Below are 18,868 nucleotides of genomic sequence, written 5' to 3'. Positions count from 1 at the left end.
AGCAATGCATTGAACACAGAAGTGAGTCAGTGTGAGCTGTATGGTGTCTACTCTTCCCTCTGTGGTTCTTCAAAGGGAGTAGAGGGTGGGTGATGGGGGTGACTCAAGAATGCATAGGACTTTATCAATCAAATTCCCATACGGAATCAGAACAAGCCTGGCAGGTTCATGGACCAGCGAAGAGATTAGAGCAGATCCTTTCAGGGATCATTTAGATTATCATCATAGACCTTCAGGGTCGCCTAACTGGGTGGATGAGAACACCGCTGGGCTCATGCTTTGCCCACAGTCCCAGCAGTCACCCTGCTGACTCAGATGTCTTTCCTCAGAAGCTCTCTCCTGCAAGCGGCAGCTGCTGGGGTCACCTGTCCCCAGGTGCCTCATCTCATCTGGCTCCTCAAAACTCCTCCGCTCCACCCATCAGCCTGCACCTTCCAGGAATGCAGATGCCATGACCAATCTGCGTCCACAGAGAATGTTTGAGAAACACAGCTTGAAAGGCCAGTGATGCCCCCACAGAGTGGCCAATCACATCTTGCTAGAGTTTTCTATGCCAATAAAACCAGAAAAAGCAAACAAACACTTTCAGCCTGACCCAAAGGAGAACAAATGAGGCAGTTATAAGAAGGTAGGGTGTGACCCTATACACATAAACCGGTAGAGCTGGAAAAAACTCCTTCAAAGAGAATGGCTCACCTTGCTCCATTTCCCTTGCAGCGATTCCTGGGGCACGTCTATTATCAGCAATTGCAGGCATTAGTAATGGAAATGAAATCCATACCTCCCAGCTAACCATCCCTGCCCAGTTACTTGTAGTTACTTATCTGTTTCTATCAAGTAGCACATATATTAAATTCATGCCTAAATAAACAAGAAAAAAAGGCTAATTTCCTGGCAGGAAATTCTTATGTAATTAGTCAACAGCTCCCGCCCCTGGTCCGTCACTAACCAGCACTGTGACCTTTAGCAGGTCCACTTCTCTTCATCCCCCTCAGCACAACCTCAGGCCCAGCCCCCACAAGCCTCTCCTGGACCACCACAGTGGCTTCCAGCTGATCTCCATGTCTCTAGTTTTTCTTCTCTCCAAAGCATTCCCCACTCTAGAAGCCTTTTGTGTAGAGATCCTCCTAAAACCCCAAATCTGCTCAACTCTCCTCAAAATCCATAACCTCTCAGCCTGGCCCAGTGGCTCACACCTGTAATCCCAGCACTTTGGGAGACCAAGGCGAGAGGATCACTTGAGGCCAGGAGTTTGAGACGAGCCTGGGCAACATAGTTAGATACCATCTCTACAAAAAATAAAAAATTAACTGGGCATGGTGGTGCTCACCTATAGACCCAGCCACTCCGGAGGCTGAGTGGGGAGGATGGCTTGAGCCCAGGAGGTCGAGGCTGTAGTGAGCTGTGCTCACGCCACTGCACTGCAGCCTGGGTGGCAAAACAAGACCCTATCTCAAAAACAAACACAACCTCTCTTCACTTACTCTAGGACAAGTTCAGAAAACCATGTATGGCTTACAAAGTCATTCGTGATCTGGCCCCTGTTTACCATTCCAGAATGATATCTCTCTCTCCATTCACCCTCTTTTTTTTTTTTTTTTTTTTTTTTTTTTTTTTGAGACTGAGTCTTGCTCTATCGCCCAGGCTGGAGTGCAGTGGCACAATTGAACCTCCTGGGTTCAACCAATTCTCCAGCCTCAGCCTCCCAAGTAGCTGGGATTACAGGCACACGCCATCATGCCCAGCTAATTTTTGTATTTTTAGTAAAGACAGATTTCACCATGTTGGCCAGGCTGGTCTCGAACTCGTGACCTCAAGCGATCCGCCCACCTCAGCCTCCCAAAGTGCTGGGATTACAGGCATGAGCCACTGCGCCTGGCCTCTCCATTCACTTTCTTAAATTCTATGTTCCAGCTGTATATTTACATACCCACGGCTCCCTGTATAATACTAATAATAGCAACAATGACCATCATCTATTGTTTCCTATGTATCAGGTTTGTTCTAAAAAACTCTTCCTTCTGGTTCAAGTTGGTGTTTGAAAAAGAAAGACAAATAAAAATAGATTAATAAAATACTTTCTGCATTAACTTATTTAATATTTACAACTCTACTAGATATTAACTATAATTATCTCCATTTCGCAGATGAGAAAACAGAAGTGGAAAGGTTAAATAACTATCCAAAGTCACTCAACAAGTAAATGATATAGAACCTGAATACAACCTGCTTATCCTGCCCTCACCCCTTCTATCTGGGTCTTTGTACACGAGGCTCCTTCCACCTGGAAGACCCTTCCTTTCCTCCCCCATTCTTCACTTGGCTAACTCCTCCTCCTCGTCCGAGAGTTCCCCTGTAAACATCTCCTCCTCTGAGAAGGTTTCCCTTGCCAGGCTGCTATCTCCCCTCAATGGTAGTTACACTCCAAAGACAGCACCCACTGAATGATGCCTCCCATAACCATGGACTTACGTAGTTCTCTCGGATATTGAATCTCAGTTGACCCTGTGACTCACCGTGGAATACAGCAGAAGGGATGCTGAATAAATTCCAGGGCTAGGTCATAAAAAGCCTTGCGAATTCCGTGCAAGTCTCTTGGAAAAGTCACTCTGGGGATCTGTAAGGAACTTAAACAATTCAACAAGCAAGAAATAAACAACCCCATTAAAAAATGGGCAAAGCATATGAGCAGATACTTCTCAAAAGAAGACATACATGTGGCCAACAAATATATGAAAAAATGTTCAACATCACTAATCATTAGAGAAATGCACATCAAAACCACAAGGAGATACCAACTTACACCAGTCAGAATGGCTATTATTACATATATGTATTTTTTTTTTTTTTTTCAGACAGAGTCTCGCTCTTGTCACCCAGCCTGGAGTGCAATGGCATGATCTCGGCTCAGTGCAACCTCCGCCACCTGGGTTCAAGCGACTCTCCTGCCTGTCTCCCGTATAGCTGGGATTGCAGGCACACGCCACCACGCCTGGCTAAGTTTTTTGTATTTTTAGTAGAGATGGGGTTTCACCATGTTGGCCAGGCTAGTCTCGAACTCCTGACCTCAGGCGATCCACCCGCCTCCGCCTCCCAAAGTGCTGGGATTACAGGCATGAGCCACCGCACCCGGCAGAATGGCTATTATTAAAAAGTCAAAAAATAGCAAATGCTGGCAAGGTTGCAGAGAAAAAGGAATGCTTACACACTGCTGGTGGGAATGTAAATTAGTTCAGCCACTGTGGAAAGCAGTGTGGAGATTTCCAAAAGAACTTCAGAACTGCCAGGCATGGTGGCTCACACCTGTAATCCCAGCACTTTGGGAGACGGAGGCGGGCAGATCACCTGTGGTCAGGAGTTCGAGACCAGCCTGGCTAACATGGTGAAACCCCGTCTCTACTAAAAATACAAAATTTAGCCGGGTGTGGTGGCATGCGCCTGTCATCCCAGCTGCTTGGGAGGCTGAGGCAGAAGAATCCCTTGAACCCAGGAGGCGGAGGTTGCAGTGAGCCAAGATTGCACCACTGCACTCCAGCCTTGGCGACAAGCGTGAAACTCCATCTCAAATAAATAAATAAATAAAATAGTTATAAAGATTAAATTAAGTACTGTTTATAATGTTTATCAGTAGCCTACTGTATGGTAACATTCTCTACCTAATATATATATCTCTATATATCACATGTGACTAAATATATTTCTAGCTAATTATAGAAAGAGAATCTGGTCTAGTAATAATCAGGGCTTGTCAAAACTCACGCCAAACTACAACAGAAAACATGTCCCTCTAGATATGTGAGCTTATTTCAATGCTTTACATTGTATAATTAAGTTATTAATTATATTTCTCTTACTTGAAAGCCCATATCCTTCTATATATTAAAAAATGAAGAGGGGGACTGATTCTTACACTTCGGCTTGTACTAAATAGGAGACTCAACTGGCCTCTCCGTGAGGGCAGAAAATGCGTCTTGTTCATCCTCATATCCCCATGCTGATAATAGCACCTGTATATGGTAGCTGCTAAGTATGAAATGAATGAATGAATGAATGGGTGAATGAATGAATGAATGAATGAATGAATGAATGATAGAAGAACTCATAATACCTGAGCACATACAAAGTGTCAGGACTAGGCTGAGCATTTTATCTAGAGAATCTCATTTACTTTTCACAACTATCCTATGATACTGGGAACACAGTTGTTCCTGACAGAAACCATTCTCCTGTATTCAACACTTTGTTCAACATTTCCTATAACACAAACACAGGGATGATCTTTTTCAGAGAGGAGAAGTGTGGCTTGTCTTACTGGCCAGAGAGAAGGCTCTTACAGCCACACAAAGTTTGTCTTCAAATTGCTACATATATACGTGAATAACCTTTGAAAGTTTAGATCAGCTGGTGGAGGAAATAGAGCTGAGACAACCATCCAGTAACTGGTGCAGAATGGGAGCCACACATCTAGATCCCTTCAAGGCCATTACTGGATATTTGCAATTCATGGATGGCAGGAATTTCAACTGGGGAGATCAAACCAGATGTCAAGAGACTTATTCAAATAAACTCTCTAGTTCTTTGAGGAAAGTCTTTGCATTTCTTCTTTGAGAAGTCCCTACATTTGTGCTTTCTGTCAAAGAGAGAATATACCTGTGTCAGTCTGGGTACAATCAGGAAGCAGAAACCACATTTAATTATTTAAATTAATTAAACCACATTTAATTTAAACCACATTTAATTTGAATTAAATGGGGGACATCTAATTCAAATAATGATGAAGCTAGGATAGGAGCATAACTATAAGATATGAAGAGAATGCTAAAGGGAACTTCATGGCTGAGGGAGAGTATCCAAGGAAAGACATACTTAGGGGGAAGGCTCCCTCCTAAGACTGAGGTTCAAATCTCTTTGGAGAAGGTGTGGTTGCAGCCCACTGGATGGCAGAGAAGTTGCCCAGGCCAGAGGTGGTCCACAGTCACGGGGTAATCAGGAAACAACCCTCCAGGGGCAGGTGAGCTGAACCTGGGGAGCAGGTGAGCTGAGCCTGAGGGGCAGGTGAGCTGAGCCTGGAGGGCAGGTGAGCTGAGGCTTGGGGGAAGGTGTGCAGGAGGAGTCAGGGCACCAATGCAAAGGCAAGGCCTGGAGCTTGCAGCATCCTCATCAGAGCGCCAGAGGACGGTGGTCTTTGGGCCCGGGTTGGTGGTGCATGGTCACCGAAAGACTGCACATTTTGGACATGAAGTGGGGTCAGTGCACCATTAAATACCCTCACAGACCCGAACCACTGATCACCATGCAGGAAGAGTAACAAAAAGAAAAAATGCAACACACCAGAACTAAGAAGAGAAGCCTGCAATTTCCCTCCATTGTCTTCTACTGAGACAACTTAGCATCAATCTCACCACAGAGGAGAAATGCTTAGCGTCCAGTCCATTATCGCAGAACAAGTACTGAAGGGTAAATTTGGGGCTGAGGGGCCATAAATTGATAACGAGCACAGTACCTACATATGAAAGGAAAGCATACTAAGAATATTCTTTTTTTTTTTTTTTTTTGGAGATGGAGTCTCGCTCTTGTTGCCCAGGCTGGAGTGAAGTGGTACGATCTCGGCTCACTGCAACCTCCACCTCCTGGGTTCAAGTGATTCTCCTGTCTCAGCCTCCCGAGTAGCTGGGATACAGGCGCCCGTCACCACACCTGCCTAATTTTAAGAATATTCTGGCCGGGCACAGTGGCTCACCCCGGGTGAGCCTGGTAATCCCAGCACTTCGGGAGGCCGAGGCGGGCAGATCACCTGAGGTCGGGAGTTCAAGACCAGCCTGGCCAACATGGTGAAACCCCATCTCTACTAAAAATACAAAAATTAGCCAGGCGTGGTGCCATGTGCCTGTAATCCCAGATATTCGGGAGGCTGAGACAGGAGAATTGCTTGAACCCAGGGGTCAGAGGTTGCAGTGAGCCGAGACTGCACCACTGCACTCCAGCCTGGGTGACAAGAGGGAGACTCCATCTAAAAAAAAAAAAAAAAAAAGAATATTCTATGTGGAGAAAAGAATAAGCATGTACTCTTTCCCTCCTACACCAAAAAAACAAAACAAAACAAAATGAAAATTATTGTTGGTAAGACTTTTATATCAGGGCTCTGTACTCCGTATCTGACAGAGTACAAAGAAGTGGGCATGGATTTTAGGTACCCACGTTTACCCTGCCTAGCAGCAACCTTAAAGTTGGAAGACAGATCCCAGAATGTCCTAGCTCTCCTCAGTGATTTCATATGGTTTTGTCATCACTGTTCTACCTACCTGCTTTATCCAGCTAAATACAATTTCAACCTAAACTACCTTCTACTTCTCCTTGAGTATTTCTTAGTTAACCCAAACATAAGTATCTATATGTAGCAATGCACCTTACAAAAATTGTACACTCCAATGTCAAGAGTGTCTGCTATTTCCAGAGTCTATTTTGCCACTGCACCTAGTTTTCTTTGCTGTATTCTACAGAAACTTGGTAAATAAAACTGGGTCTCTATTTGTATCCTAGATGATTTTTCCTATCTGAGCTTCAATGGTAACTTTTCCTTCTGAGAGCATGGATCTAGCTGGCTGTAGTGGTGTACGCCTATGGTCTCAGCTACTCAGGAGGCTGAGGCAGGAGGATCACTTCAGCCCAGGCGGTCGAGACTGCAATGAGCTGTGAGCACACCACTGCACTCCAGCCTGGGCAACAGAACAAGACCCTGTATCAAAACAAAAACAAAAACAGAGCAGAGAGTGTGTTTGTTTCCTAGGGCTGCAGTAACAAATTTATCACAAACCTGGATGGCTTAAAACAATATAAATTAGTCTCTCACAGTCTGGAGGCCAGAAGTCAAAAATCAAGGTGTCAGTGGCCTATGATGTCTCTGAAGGTGCCAGGGGAGGCCCTTCCCTTGCGTCTTCCTGGCTTCTGGTGGCTGCCGGCAAGAACTGGCGTTCGTTGGCTTGTAGATGCATCCCTCCAGTCTCTGCCTTTGCCATCACATGGCTTTGTCTTCTGTCTGTGTCCAAATCTCTCTCTCTCTCTCTCTCTTTTTTTAGATGGAATCTTGCTCTGTTGCCAGGCTGGAGTGCAGTGGCAGGATCTCAGCTCACTGCAACCTCCGCCTCTCAGGTTCAAGTGATTCTCCTGCCTTGGCCTCCCAAGTGGCTGGGATTACAGGCACATGCCACCAAGCCCAGCTAATTTTTGTATTTTTAGTAGAGTCAGGGTTTCACCATGTTGGCCAGGATGGTCTCGATCTCTTGACCTCATGATCTACCTGCCTCGGCGTACCAACAAAATCTCTCTTAGAAGGACAGCAGTTATTGCATTAAGGCCCACCCTAATTCAGTATGACTCCATCGTAAGTTGGTTACATGTGCAAAGACCTAGTTCCAAATGAGGTCACGTTCACAAGTACTGGGGGCTAGGGCTTGAACATTTATTGTGGAGGGGGGCACAGTTCTACCCATGACAGAGCACAAGATTGTGCTTCGTTTCCCTTAAGCAAGAATAAACCCTGTGCAGCACCTACTTCCTCACCAAGGACTGGCTGGGAAGTGGGAAAGCTAGAGACCCAGAACTTCCAGGGTTCTTTTTCCTTATTTATTTATTTAACTTTTTTTATTTTTTTGAGACCCAGAACATTCTGGATGTTGGTACCAGCCTCCAGGTCTTGGTTGAGGAGTTGTCTACACATTTCAGAAGTGGCAAAGGAGAATTTCTGCAAAGGCATTTCCTGAGCAAAAGCAAAATTTAGTGAGCGGTTATCTATATGTGGAGATGCCTTTAGCAATGAATAGAAGTGTGGGGTAGGCTAACCAACTCAGCAGGCACTGTCACCATTTCTATGGGTCTATGGACTGCCGCTTTGGGGGTTTGTTTGTGTTCAGCTCATTTACACTGCAAGATCACTTACAAGTAGCCTCATTGGTTTCGTTTCCCTCTCTTGAATATCTCCTCTTCCCTCCCCAGCCCTTTCCTATCTGTAGCCCCCTTCATGTTTTAGATCTTCTGTCTTTACTTATTCCTCAGTTTATTCCACAAATGTTCATTGAGTGCCTATTATGTGTTAGGTACTTTGCTTGGTGCTGAAAACACAATGATGAGTAAAAATAGATTCAGTCTCATTCCTTTTTTTTTTTTTTTTTTTTTTGAGACGGAGTCTCGCTCTGTCGCCCAGGCTGGAGTGCAGTGGCGCGATCTCGGCTCACTGCAAGCTCCGCCTCCCGGGTTCACGCCATTCTCCTGCCTCAGCCTCCCAAGTAGCTAGGACTACAGGCGCCCGCCACTACGCCCGGCTATTTTTTGTAGTTTTAGTAGAGACGGGGTTTCACCGTTTTAGCCGGGATGGTCTCGATCTCCTGACCTCGTGATCCGCCCGCCTCGGCCTCCCAAAGTGCTGGGATTACAGGCGTGAGCCACCGCGCCCGGCCCAGTCTCATTCCTTATGGGGCTTATAATCTAGTGAGAGTAATAGATATCAATCAAAGAACCAGACAAATATAATACTGTGACAAGTGTTATAAAATACAGATGCAGCGTGTGGTGATAGCCTCTAAAAGGAGGATTTGACCCCATCAGCGATGTCAAGCAAACCTTCCCTGAAGAAGGATATGCTTGACCTGGGATCTGAAGGATGAGTAGAAGTTGCCTAAATAAAGAGGGCAGAAGAGCAGAGGAGGTAGAAAAAATAGCATGTGCAAAGTCCCTGGGGTGGGCAGGAGCTTAAAGAGTGAAAGCAGCCAGTAGGGAAGGAAATGCAGGAGAGACAGGAGCTAGATAGGCCTGTGGCACCATGCAGAGCCTGCCAGGCCATGCCTTTCTCCAAAGATCAACAAGAAGACACTGAAAGGGTGGATGGGTGGTGAACTGGTTGCTGGTTTGTCTTTGAGGGTAGGTAACAGGACAAGTTTTGTTCCACCTGATGGGGAACTCTGAAAAAAACACGAGAATTTGTGGCTTACCTCAACGTAAGCTGACATTAACATCTGCCACCTCTGAACTCATTTATTATGTTTTTGTTTTGTTTTGTTTTTGAGACGGAGTCTCTCTGTTGCCCAGGCTGGAGTGCAGTGGTGCGATCTCGGCTCACTGCAAGCTCTGCCTCCCGGGTTCATGCCATTCTCCTGTCTCAGCCTCCCAAGTAGCTGGGACTACAGGCGCCCACCACCACGGCCGGCTAATTTTTTTGTATTTTTAGTAGAGAAGGGGTTTCATCGTGTTAGCCAGGATGGTCTCGATCTCCTGACCTCGTGATCCACCCACCTCGGCCTCCCAAAGTGCTGGGATTACAGGCGTGAGCCACCGTGCCCGGCCTGAACTCATTTATTATGTAATATGATTTGTATTTGTGTCCCCATCCAAATCTCATGTTAAATTGTAATCCCCAGTGTTGGAGGAGGGGCCTGGTAGGAGGGGATTGGATCATGGGGGCGGATTCCCCTCGCCCCCATGATCTCCTGATAGTGAATGAACTCTCATGAGATCTGGTTGGTTTTTTGTTTGTTTGTTTTTTGAAATGGAGTCTTGCTCTGTCGCCCAGGCTGGAATGCAGTGGCATGATCTCGGCTCACTGCAATCTCTGCGTCCCGGGTTCAAGAAATTCTCCTGCCTCAGCCTCCTGAGTAGCTGGGATTACAGATGCCTTACACCACACCTGGCTAATTTTTGTGTTTTTAGTAGAGATGGGGTTTCACCATGTTGCCCAGGCTGGTCTCAAACTCCTGACCTCAGGTGATCCGCCTGTCTCGGCCTCCCAAAGTGGTGGGATTACAGGCGTGAGACACCACACCTGGCCTTATCTGGTTGTTTGAAAGTGTGTAGCACTTCCCCCTTCGCTCTCTCTTCCTCCTGCTCTAGCCATGAAGAACATGCCTGCTTCCCCTTCACCTTCCGCCTTGACTACAAGTTTCCTGAGGCCTCCCCAGCCATGCTTCCTGTACAGCCTGTGGAACTGTGAGTCAATTAAGCCTCTTTTCTTTATAAATTACCCAGTCTCAGGTAGCTCTTTATAGCAATGTGAGAATGGACTAATATACTACGTATTGTCTGTGTTCCATCTTCCTCGATTTACCAGCTGTGTGATCTCAAGCAAGCTACTTGTCTGGATTTTAGCTTCCTCTTCTGAAAAGGGAGATGCTAATAGTAGCTACCTTAGAGGACTCTTGTGCAGATTGAATTAAACAAATCATGCATATAAAGCACTAAACAAAGCACATAGCACAGGCTATGAAATATTAGCTCTTATTTTATTATTACATCTTAAGTATCAAATCATTATTGGTTTTCTTTAATTACTTATGCCATATAATCATCACTCCACTTTAATTTTTTGAGTTATTCTTTAATTGTGCACTTCTTAATTGTAACTCTCCAAGTAAGACTGAAAGTTCCTTAAAGGCAAGAGCTGTTAGATCACTAGCCATCTAACGTGCTGCTGATGCAAATATTGGTTGATTGATTAGTTCTTCAGAGCTCAGTCTGCATCTACTTTCACTTTATTTATTTATTTATTTATTTAGAGACAGAGTCTTGCTCTATCCCCCAGGCTGGAGTGCAGTGGCATGATCTCCGCTCACTGCAAGCTCCGCCTCCCAGGTTCACGCCATTCTCCTGCCTCAGCCTCCCGAGTAGCTGGGACTACAGGTGCCTGCCACCACGCCTGGCTAATTTTTTGTATTTTTAGTAGAGACAGGGTTTCACCGTGTTAGCCAGGATGGTCTCGATCTCCTGATCTCGTGATCCACTCACCTCGGCCTCCCAAAGTGCTGGGATTACAGGCGTGAGCCACCGCGCCCGGCCCACTCACTTTATTTTGAATGATGGAGGCAGTATAGAAGGTGGGAGGATGATCTGAGCAAGTGAAAAGATGTAGAATAAGGGAATTTGGTTTTGATTACAAACTTTGACCCTCAGCATTGAGTGATCCAAAAAGCAGGTACCAGGGTACTCTCATAAATTTCTCAGGACTGACAGGGCACCGGTGCCTCACGCCAGTAATCCCAGCACTTTGAGAGGCCAAGGTGAGCAGATCACTTGAGCTCTCGAGTTCAAGACCAGCCTGGGCAACATGGTGAAACCCCATCTCTGCAAAAAAAAATACAAAAGTTCACCAGGTGTGGTGGCGTGTAGTTGTAGTCCTAGCTACTTGGGAGGGAGGATGGCTTGAGCCTGGGAGGTGGAGGTTGCAGTGAGATGAGATCATGCCACTGCACTCCAGCCTGAGCAACAGAGCCAGACCACGCCTGAAAAAAAAAAAAGAAAAAAAAAGAAAGAAATTTCTCAGGATGAAGAAACAGAGATCATCATCATCCTCACCATCGTCATCAGAGTTAGCATTTACTGAGTGTCTACAATTAGTACAGCTGGTCCCCGACTTAACATGGCTTGATGTGGGATTTTTCTACTGTACCATGAGTTTCTCTGAATGCAACCCCATCATAAGTCATGGAGCAACTATACATGAATTAACTCATTTAATCATCAGAATAACTATATTTTACTGTAAGCGAAGGTACACGGTGAGACCAGCTTGGCCAACATGGTGAGAACCCGTCTCTACTAAAAATACAAAAATTAGCCAGGCGTGATGGGCGCCTGTAATCCCAGCTACTCAGGAGAATCACTTGAACCCAGGAGACGGAGGCTGCAGTGAGCTGAGATCACGCCACTGCACTTCAGCCTGGGTGACAGAGTGAGACTCTGTGCCCCCCGCCAAAAAAAAAAAGCAGAGAGCTTAGCTTACCCACCTACTGTGATATAGTCCACGTGGAGTACAGTCACATCATCAAGGACTTTTGGGTTCTGCCATCACCCTTGGGACTGAGCAGGATCTCCCTAGCCTTGTCTCAATTCCTCTGAAGTCTCCTGCACATCACCCTGCACCACAAGCAGCAGTGTGCTACCCAGGTCAAGCAAGGGTGTGTTGTACTCCACCTAGCTAATGGCTTAAAACAAATTTCCTGAATTCCCCATTTGCTATCTCCTAGCTAATTTGAAAAACAAGAGATGAAAAGAAGGGGCCTTCATCAGAAATCTACACTTCCATGATGTAGAGTGGCTCAGTGTCGCTGTTCTGCATAATAACCTCCTCCCAACCATTGGGATTGTATCATACATTTCCCTGGGTTTTGCTGGCTTCCACATTCCCATTGCAACCCCTGTAGCTAGAGACTCTGCTTAATGCTGTGCTTTGTACAGTACTTTGTGCATTTTGGCATCTGATAAAAGTTAAATTAGAAAACCCTAATGTGGCATCACTGCATTTGTTTTGGCATCTATCTTGCAGGATGGATCCTCATTTTATGATAGGTCTCATATGCGTTAGTGTTTTTCTAAATCAGGGTATTAAAAGGAAATAGAGCCAAGCCACTCCAAGGTGAAATGGCAGAGAGTTGGAGGAGAAGATAAATGAGTATTGTTAGCATCAACTTCAGTAACTCTTCCAGAGGAAAGTGAGGGGATCACACACCATTTAACATGTTGGCAAATTCCAGGCTCAGCTTCAATGCCAACCAATTTGTCTCAGATTTACAAGGTGTGGCAAAAGAAGATGCCACCAACCTGAAGACCTGAGTTGAGAATATCAGTATGAATTCATGATTCTTTTTCCCCCTTAAAAAATAATACGGCCAGGAGTCATGGCTCACGCCTGTAATCCCAGCACTTTGGGAGGCCAAGGCAGGCGGATCACGAGGTCAGGAGTTTGAGACCAGCCTGGCCAATATGGTGAAACCTCATCTCTACTAAAAATACAAACAAAAATTAGCCAGGCATGGTGGCGCACGTCTGTAGTCCCAGCTACTCGGGAGGCTGAGGCAGAAGAATCGCTTGAACCTGGGAGGTGGAGGTTGCAGTGAGCCGAGATCATGCCACTGCACTCCAGCCTGGGTGACAGAACGAGACTCTGGCTATATATATATATATATATATATATATACATATATATATATACACACACACACACACACACACATATATATATATACACACATATATATATATACACACACACACACATATATATATACACATATATATATATACACACACACACACACATATATATATATATACACATATATATGAGGCTGGATGCAGTGTGTCACACCTGTAATCCCAGAACTTTGAGAGACTGAGATAGGAGGATTGTTTGAGGCCAGGATGACACCACCCTGGGCAGCATAGCAAGACTCATCTCTATTAAAAAATTAAAATACAGCCGGGAGCAGTGACTCACACCTGTAATCCCAGCACTTTGGGAGGCTAAGACAGGCAGATGGCTTGAGCCCAGGAGTTCCAGACAGGCCTGGGCAACATGCCAAGACCCTATCTCTACAAAAAATACAAAAATTAGCCAGACATGGTGATGCACACCTATAGTCCCAGCTACTCAGGGGGCTGAGGTAAGAGGATGGCTTGAACCCAGGAGGTTGAGGCTGCAGTGAGCCATGATTGCACCACTGCACTCCAGCCTGGGTGACAGAGTGAGACCCTGTCTTAAAATAAATAAATTAATTGAATAAATAAATAAAAACTAAAATACAAGAGACCTGGGTGCAGAGCCTGTACCTGTAGTCCCAGCTACTCAGTAGGCTGAGGCAGGAAGATCACTTGAGCCCAGGAATTGGAGGCTGTTGTACACTATGATCGTGCCTGTGAACAGCCACTGCACTTCAGCATGGTCAACACAGCAAGACTCCATCTCTAAAAAAAAGAAACGGAAAAAGAAAAAAATCAAGAAAAGGCAAAACAATAAGGACAGAAAGCAAATGAGCATGAAGAAACTTTTTGGTGTGATGAAAATGTTCTAAAACTGGATTATGGTGACGGCTGCATAAATGTGTTAACACTCTTCAAACTGTACAATTAAAATGGGTAAATTCTATGCTACGTAAATAATACATCAGTAAGCTGTTAACCTTTTTTTTGTTTGTTTGAATTAAAACAAAAACAAAAACACAGCAACTGAATAATTCCCAGATCCGAAATGGCAAAGGGGTCCGGGCGCAATGACTCATGCCTATAATCCCAGCACTTTGGGAGGCTGAGGCAGGCGGATCACTTGAGGTCAGGAGTTTGAGACCAGCCTGGCCAACATGGTGAAACCCTATCTCTACCAAAAGTATAAAAAAAGTAGTTGGGTGTGGTGGTGCACACCTGTAATCCCAGCTACTCAGGAGGCTGAGGCAAGGACAATTGCTTGAACCCGGGAAGCAGAGGTTGCAGTGAGCCAAGATCATGCCACTGCACTCCAGCCTGGGCAACAGAGTGAGACTCCATCTCAAAAAAAAACAAAAAAAAAAAAAAGAAAGAAAGAAATGGCAAAGGGTAGGATGGGAGGCAAAGGGATGGGGAGGAGGAGCCTGCAAAAAAACCAATGTCAGCCTTATGTCCTGAAAAAAAAATCAGTAAAAATTGAAATGCCCCAAACCATTAGGAAATGAGTCATATTATATAATTATATAATACATACATTATACCTAAATAATAAGCCATTTGTAGGCCGGGCATGGTGGCTCATGCCTGTAATCCCAGCACTTTGGGAGGCAGAGGTGGGCAGATCACAAGGTCAGGAGTACGAGACCAGCCTGGCCAATATGGTGAAACCCCCGTCTCTACTAAAAATACAAAAATTAGCCAGGTGTGGTGGCAGGCACCTGTAGTCCCAGTTACTCGGGAGGCTGAGGCAGGAGAATCGCTTGAATCTGGGAGGCAGACGTTGTAGTGAGCCAAGATCGTGCCACTGCACTCTAGCCTGGGCAGCAGAGCAAGACTCCGAAAAAAAAAAAAAAAGCCACTTGTGAGATAGTGGCTTCCAGGTTTTTCATCTCTGATATAGCAATTATCATTGCATCAATTACTTTGTAGTAATTTTCATACTTAACTTTCACTCTCATCAGGTGGTCATCCTCTTAAGGGTAGAGACTGTGATTAACCACCTGTTTATATACTCCAAGTCCGCTAGCATGGTGCCTAGTTAACTGAGCATATTCAGTCAATGAAGTACTTTTATATTTTATATATATGTATATATATATATTTGATAGGTAAATGTATTCACACTGTTCAAAACTCAAAGTTACATAAGGATATATAAAGTCAACAATTTCCCTTCCTTAGCCCACTGAACACCTGGTTTCCCTTCCTGGAGGTATCAATGTTACCTGTTACATAGTTCTTGTGTAATTCTTGAGAGATATTTCATGAATATTCAAACAAATATTTTGAATATACTCCTTTTTTTTTCTTTTTTGAGACAGGGTGGAATGCAGTGGTGCGATCATGGCTCACTGCAGCCTTGACTTCCCAGGCTCCAGTGATCCTCCCCTTCAGCCTCTGGAGTAGCTGCAACCACAGGCTCATGCCACCATGCCTGGCTAATTTTTGTTTGTTTGTTTCTTTCTCTGTTTGTTTGTTTTTGAGACGGAGTTTCCCTCTTGTTGCCCAGGCTGGAGTGCAATGGCATGATCTAGGCTCACCATAACCTCCGCTTCCTAGGTTCAAGCGTTTCCCCTACCTCAGCCTCCCGAGTAGCTGGGATTACAGGCATCCGCCACTATGCCCGGCTAATTTTTTGTATCTTTAGTAGAGACGGGGTTTCACCATGTTGGCCAAGCTGATCTCGAACCCCGGACCTCAGGTGATCCACCCGCCTCACCTTCCCAATGTGCTGGGATCACAGGTGTGAGCCATGTACCCGGAGAAATTTTGTATTTTTTGTAGAGCTATGGTTTTGCCATGTTGCCCAGGCTGGTCCCAAACTCCTAGAATCAAGCGATCCACCCATCTTGGCCTCCCAAAGAGCTAGGATTATAGGCATGAGCTACTGTGCCTGGCCAAATATACTCGTTTTAGCACCATGATAGCATATTATACACTGTTCTCTAGGTTGCTTGGACTTCAGGTAGTAACTGAAGTAAAAAAGGATATAAGGCAGGATGGGATTAATCCTAACAGTCTCTATGAGAAAATTGTTAAACAGCTAATAGTTCTCTGGGGAGGTTCAAGGTGGTGAGGCAGGCAGAATTATGGCTTGAGGTTGGGGGTGATAATAATAATAATTATTATTTTTTGAGACAAAGTCTCGCTCTGTCACCCAGGCTGGAGTGCAGTGGCACAATCTTGGCTCACTGCAACCTCTGCCTCCTGGGTTCAAGCAATTCTCCTGCCTCAGCCTCCCGAGTAGCTGGGATTACAGGCATGCACCACCACACCCGGCTAATTTTTGTATTTTTAGTAGAGATGGGGTTTCACCATGCTGGCCAGGCTAGTCTCAAACTCCCAACCTTGTGACCTGCCTGCCTTGGCCTCCCAAAGTGCTGGGATTACAGGCGTGAGCCACTGCGCCCGGCCAGGGATGATAATTATACTAGAAATATGGAACTGGGTGACTTCCCTTAAATCTTAGTGTCATGGCTAGAGGAGGGATAGGATGGTTAAGCCAGACTTGCAACTAATCCTAACAAATTAGCATGTAGCAGCCAAGAGGTAATGGTCACCTCAATGGTCAGCACAGGTCCTGGCACATAGTAGGCACTCCAGAGGAGTTAATTAATTATTTTGTGAATAACTGCTCTCAACCCATCTCAACTGGATCTAATCTAATGATATAATTATTGCCTTTCATCTCTAACACTATAATATTGTCTCATATATACAACCAGGCATGGGATTGGTTTCGAAATTCAGACTGGGTGAAGAGGGTATCCCCACAGGAGAAGAGCCCTAATATTGAGTATTGAAGCCCATGCAGAATTAGAAGGATGTCCCTGAATCATGGCGGCCCAGAATGGCAAGTCTAAGCCTGAAAGATTGGGAAAGCATCCACAGAGGGATGGGAGAAGGAAGAAGGGAGGGATGGGCCAGCCACAGGAGTTGGAGCCCAAGCATGGCAAGGAGGGCATGCACAGGGGGGATTGGACCAGCACAGGCTGCTGGAGCCCCAGAATATGAGGAAGGTGTCCCACATAAGGGCAGCATGGTGTGAAGTGTTTGAGTGAATGCAGGGTGATGGGGGCATATGTGTGAGGGTGGACTGGCATGGGATGTTGGGGCCCATGCAGGAGAGGAGGATACCCATGCTATGGGACAGCCTGGCACAAGACGTTGGAGTCTAAGCAGAGTGATAAAGATGTTCCCATAGAAGGGTAGCCTGGAGTCAGGTACTGGAGCCCGAGCAGGGAGAGCAGGGCCACACCTAAGCAGCCCGGGGTGAGAAGTCAGAGAGGAAATGGGGCGAGCAAGGCATCCCAGCAGGGAGGCAGCCCAGGATGGTGTGTCAGAGCCCAGGTAGAGTGGCAAGACCATCTATGCAGAAGTGGGGGTAGTAACAACTATTGGTTATGTAGACAGGGATTGATCAAATAAAAAAATACAAAGGATAATAATAAAAACCATCATTCTTGGAGAAGAGAGTTAGGAAAGGGGAGAGGAAGAAAACTGGAATAAACCCTGGGCTGTTTAATTGGAATTAGAACTATTAAAGCTATGTTTTCCAGTATAGAGAGATAGATATAAAAATAGGTAAATGTAAATATATGTACACATGTATGAATGTATATTCATATGGACACAAACACATACATACATTCCGTAGCTCTGTCCACAAAGAGGGCCTAGGAGCAGTAACACTCCAATACCAACGACAGGGATCGCCATGGTTTGTAAAACTGGTGGCTAGATAAAAAGCATAAGGAGATCTCTGTGCTCTTGCAGGTGTCATATCCTAAGCTTTGCTGAGGAGAACATCTTGATCCCGCTGTCAAAACATCTGAAGCCCATGGTGATCGGAATCTAACTAAAACTGCAAAAAAAAAAAAAAAAACCAAAAACACAAAATACCCCAGGCTCACTTTAACTTCAGATTATACTTACTCAGCTTCCTGTAGGATGGTCCTTTGTTGGGAGCAAATATTACTTTAACCTCTATTTTCCATTTTATGCAATGTCCAGCATAAATTTAAAACTACAAAGCATCTAAAGAAACAAGAAAATATAATCTATTATCAAGAGAGGAAATCATCAATAAAAGCTGGCCCCAAGTAGGTCCAGATTTTGCAATTATAAATGGGCTTTAAAATAACATTAACAAATATGACAAAGGACCTGGTGAAAAGGTAAACATCTTCTATGAACAAATGAGAAATTTTAACAAACAGTAGACACTTAAAGGATGAAAATACTAGGTCGGGCGCGGTGCTCACGCCTGTAATCCTAGCACTTTGGGAGGCCGAGGCGGGCCGATCACGAGGTCAGGAGATCAAGACCATCCTGTCTAACATGGTGAAACTCTGTCTCTACTAAAAATACAAAAAACTAGCCAGGCGTGGTGGCGGGCGCCTGTAGTCCCAGCTACTCAGGAGGCTGAGGCAGGAGAACGGCGTGAACCCGGGAGGCTGAGCTTGCAGTGAGCTGAGATTGCGCCACTGTACTTCAGCCTGGGCGACAGAGCGAGACTCCATCTCAAAAAAAAAAAAAAAGATTGAAAATACTAGAAATAAAAAACATATCAGGCCGGGCATGGTGGCTCACGCCTGTAATCCCAACACTTTGGGAGGCTGAGGCAGGCAGATCACCTGAGGTCAGGAGTTCGAGACCAGCCTGCCCAACAGAGTGAAACCCCATCTCTACTAAAAATACAAAAAATTAGCCGGGCATGGTGGCAGGTGCCCGTAATCCCAGCTACTTGGGAGGCTGAGGTGGGACAATAACTTGAATCCAGGAGGCGGAGGCTGCAGTGAGCTAAGATCATGCCACTGCACTCCAGCCTGGGTGACAAGAGCGAAATTCCATCTCAAAAAAAGAAAAAAAAAATATCAGAGGCCGGGCACGGTGGCTCACGCCTGTA

The 18,868-nt window shown here is 45.3% G+C and overlaps 1 annotated feature.

The window, feature by feature from the left end:
- Nucleotides 221–1,420: an enhancer, noted in NCBI's record as "P300/CBP strongly-dependent group 1 enhancer chr12:13024682-13025881 (GRCh37/hg19 assembly coordinates)". NCBI's record gives its function as "activates an origin of replication core promoter dependent on BRD2, BRD4, P300/CBP, MED14 and CDK7 cofactors, with strong dependence on P300/CBP, by STARR-seq in HCT116 cells {active_cell/tissue: HCT116}" and the evidence as "EXISTENCE:reporter gene assay evidence [ECO:0000049][PMID:35650434]".

This window comes from Homo sapiens, chromosome 12, assembly GCF_000001405.40.
Source record: "Homo sapiens chromosome 12, GRCh38.p14 Primary Assembly".
In the NCBI taxonomy this organism is placed as follows: Eukaryota; Metazoa; Chordata; class Mammalia; order Primates; family Hominidae; genus Homo; species Homo sapiens.
The sequence above is the reverse complement of the archived record's forward strand: the minus strand, read 5'-3'. Positions and strand labels throughout refer to the sequence as shown.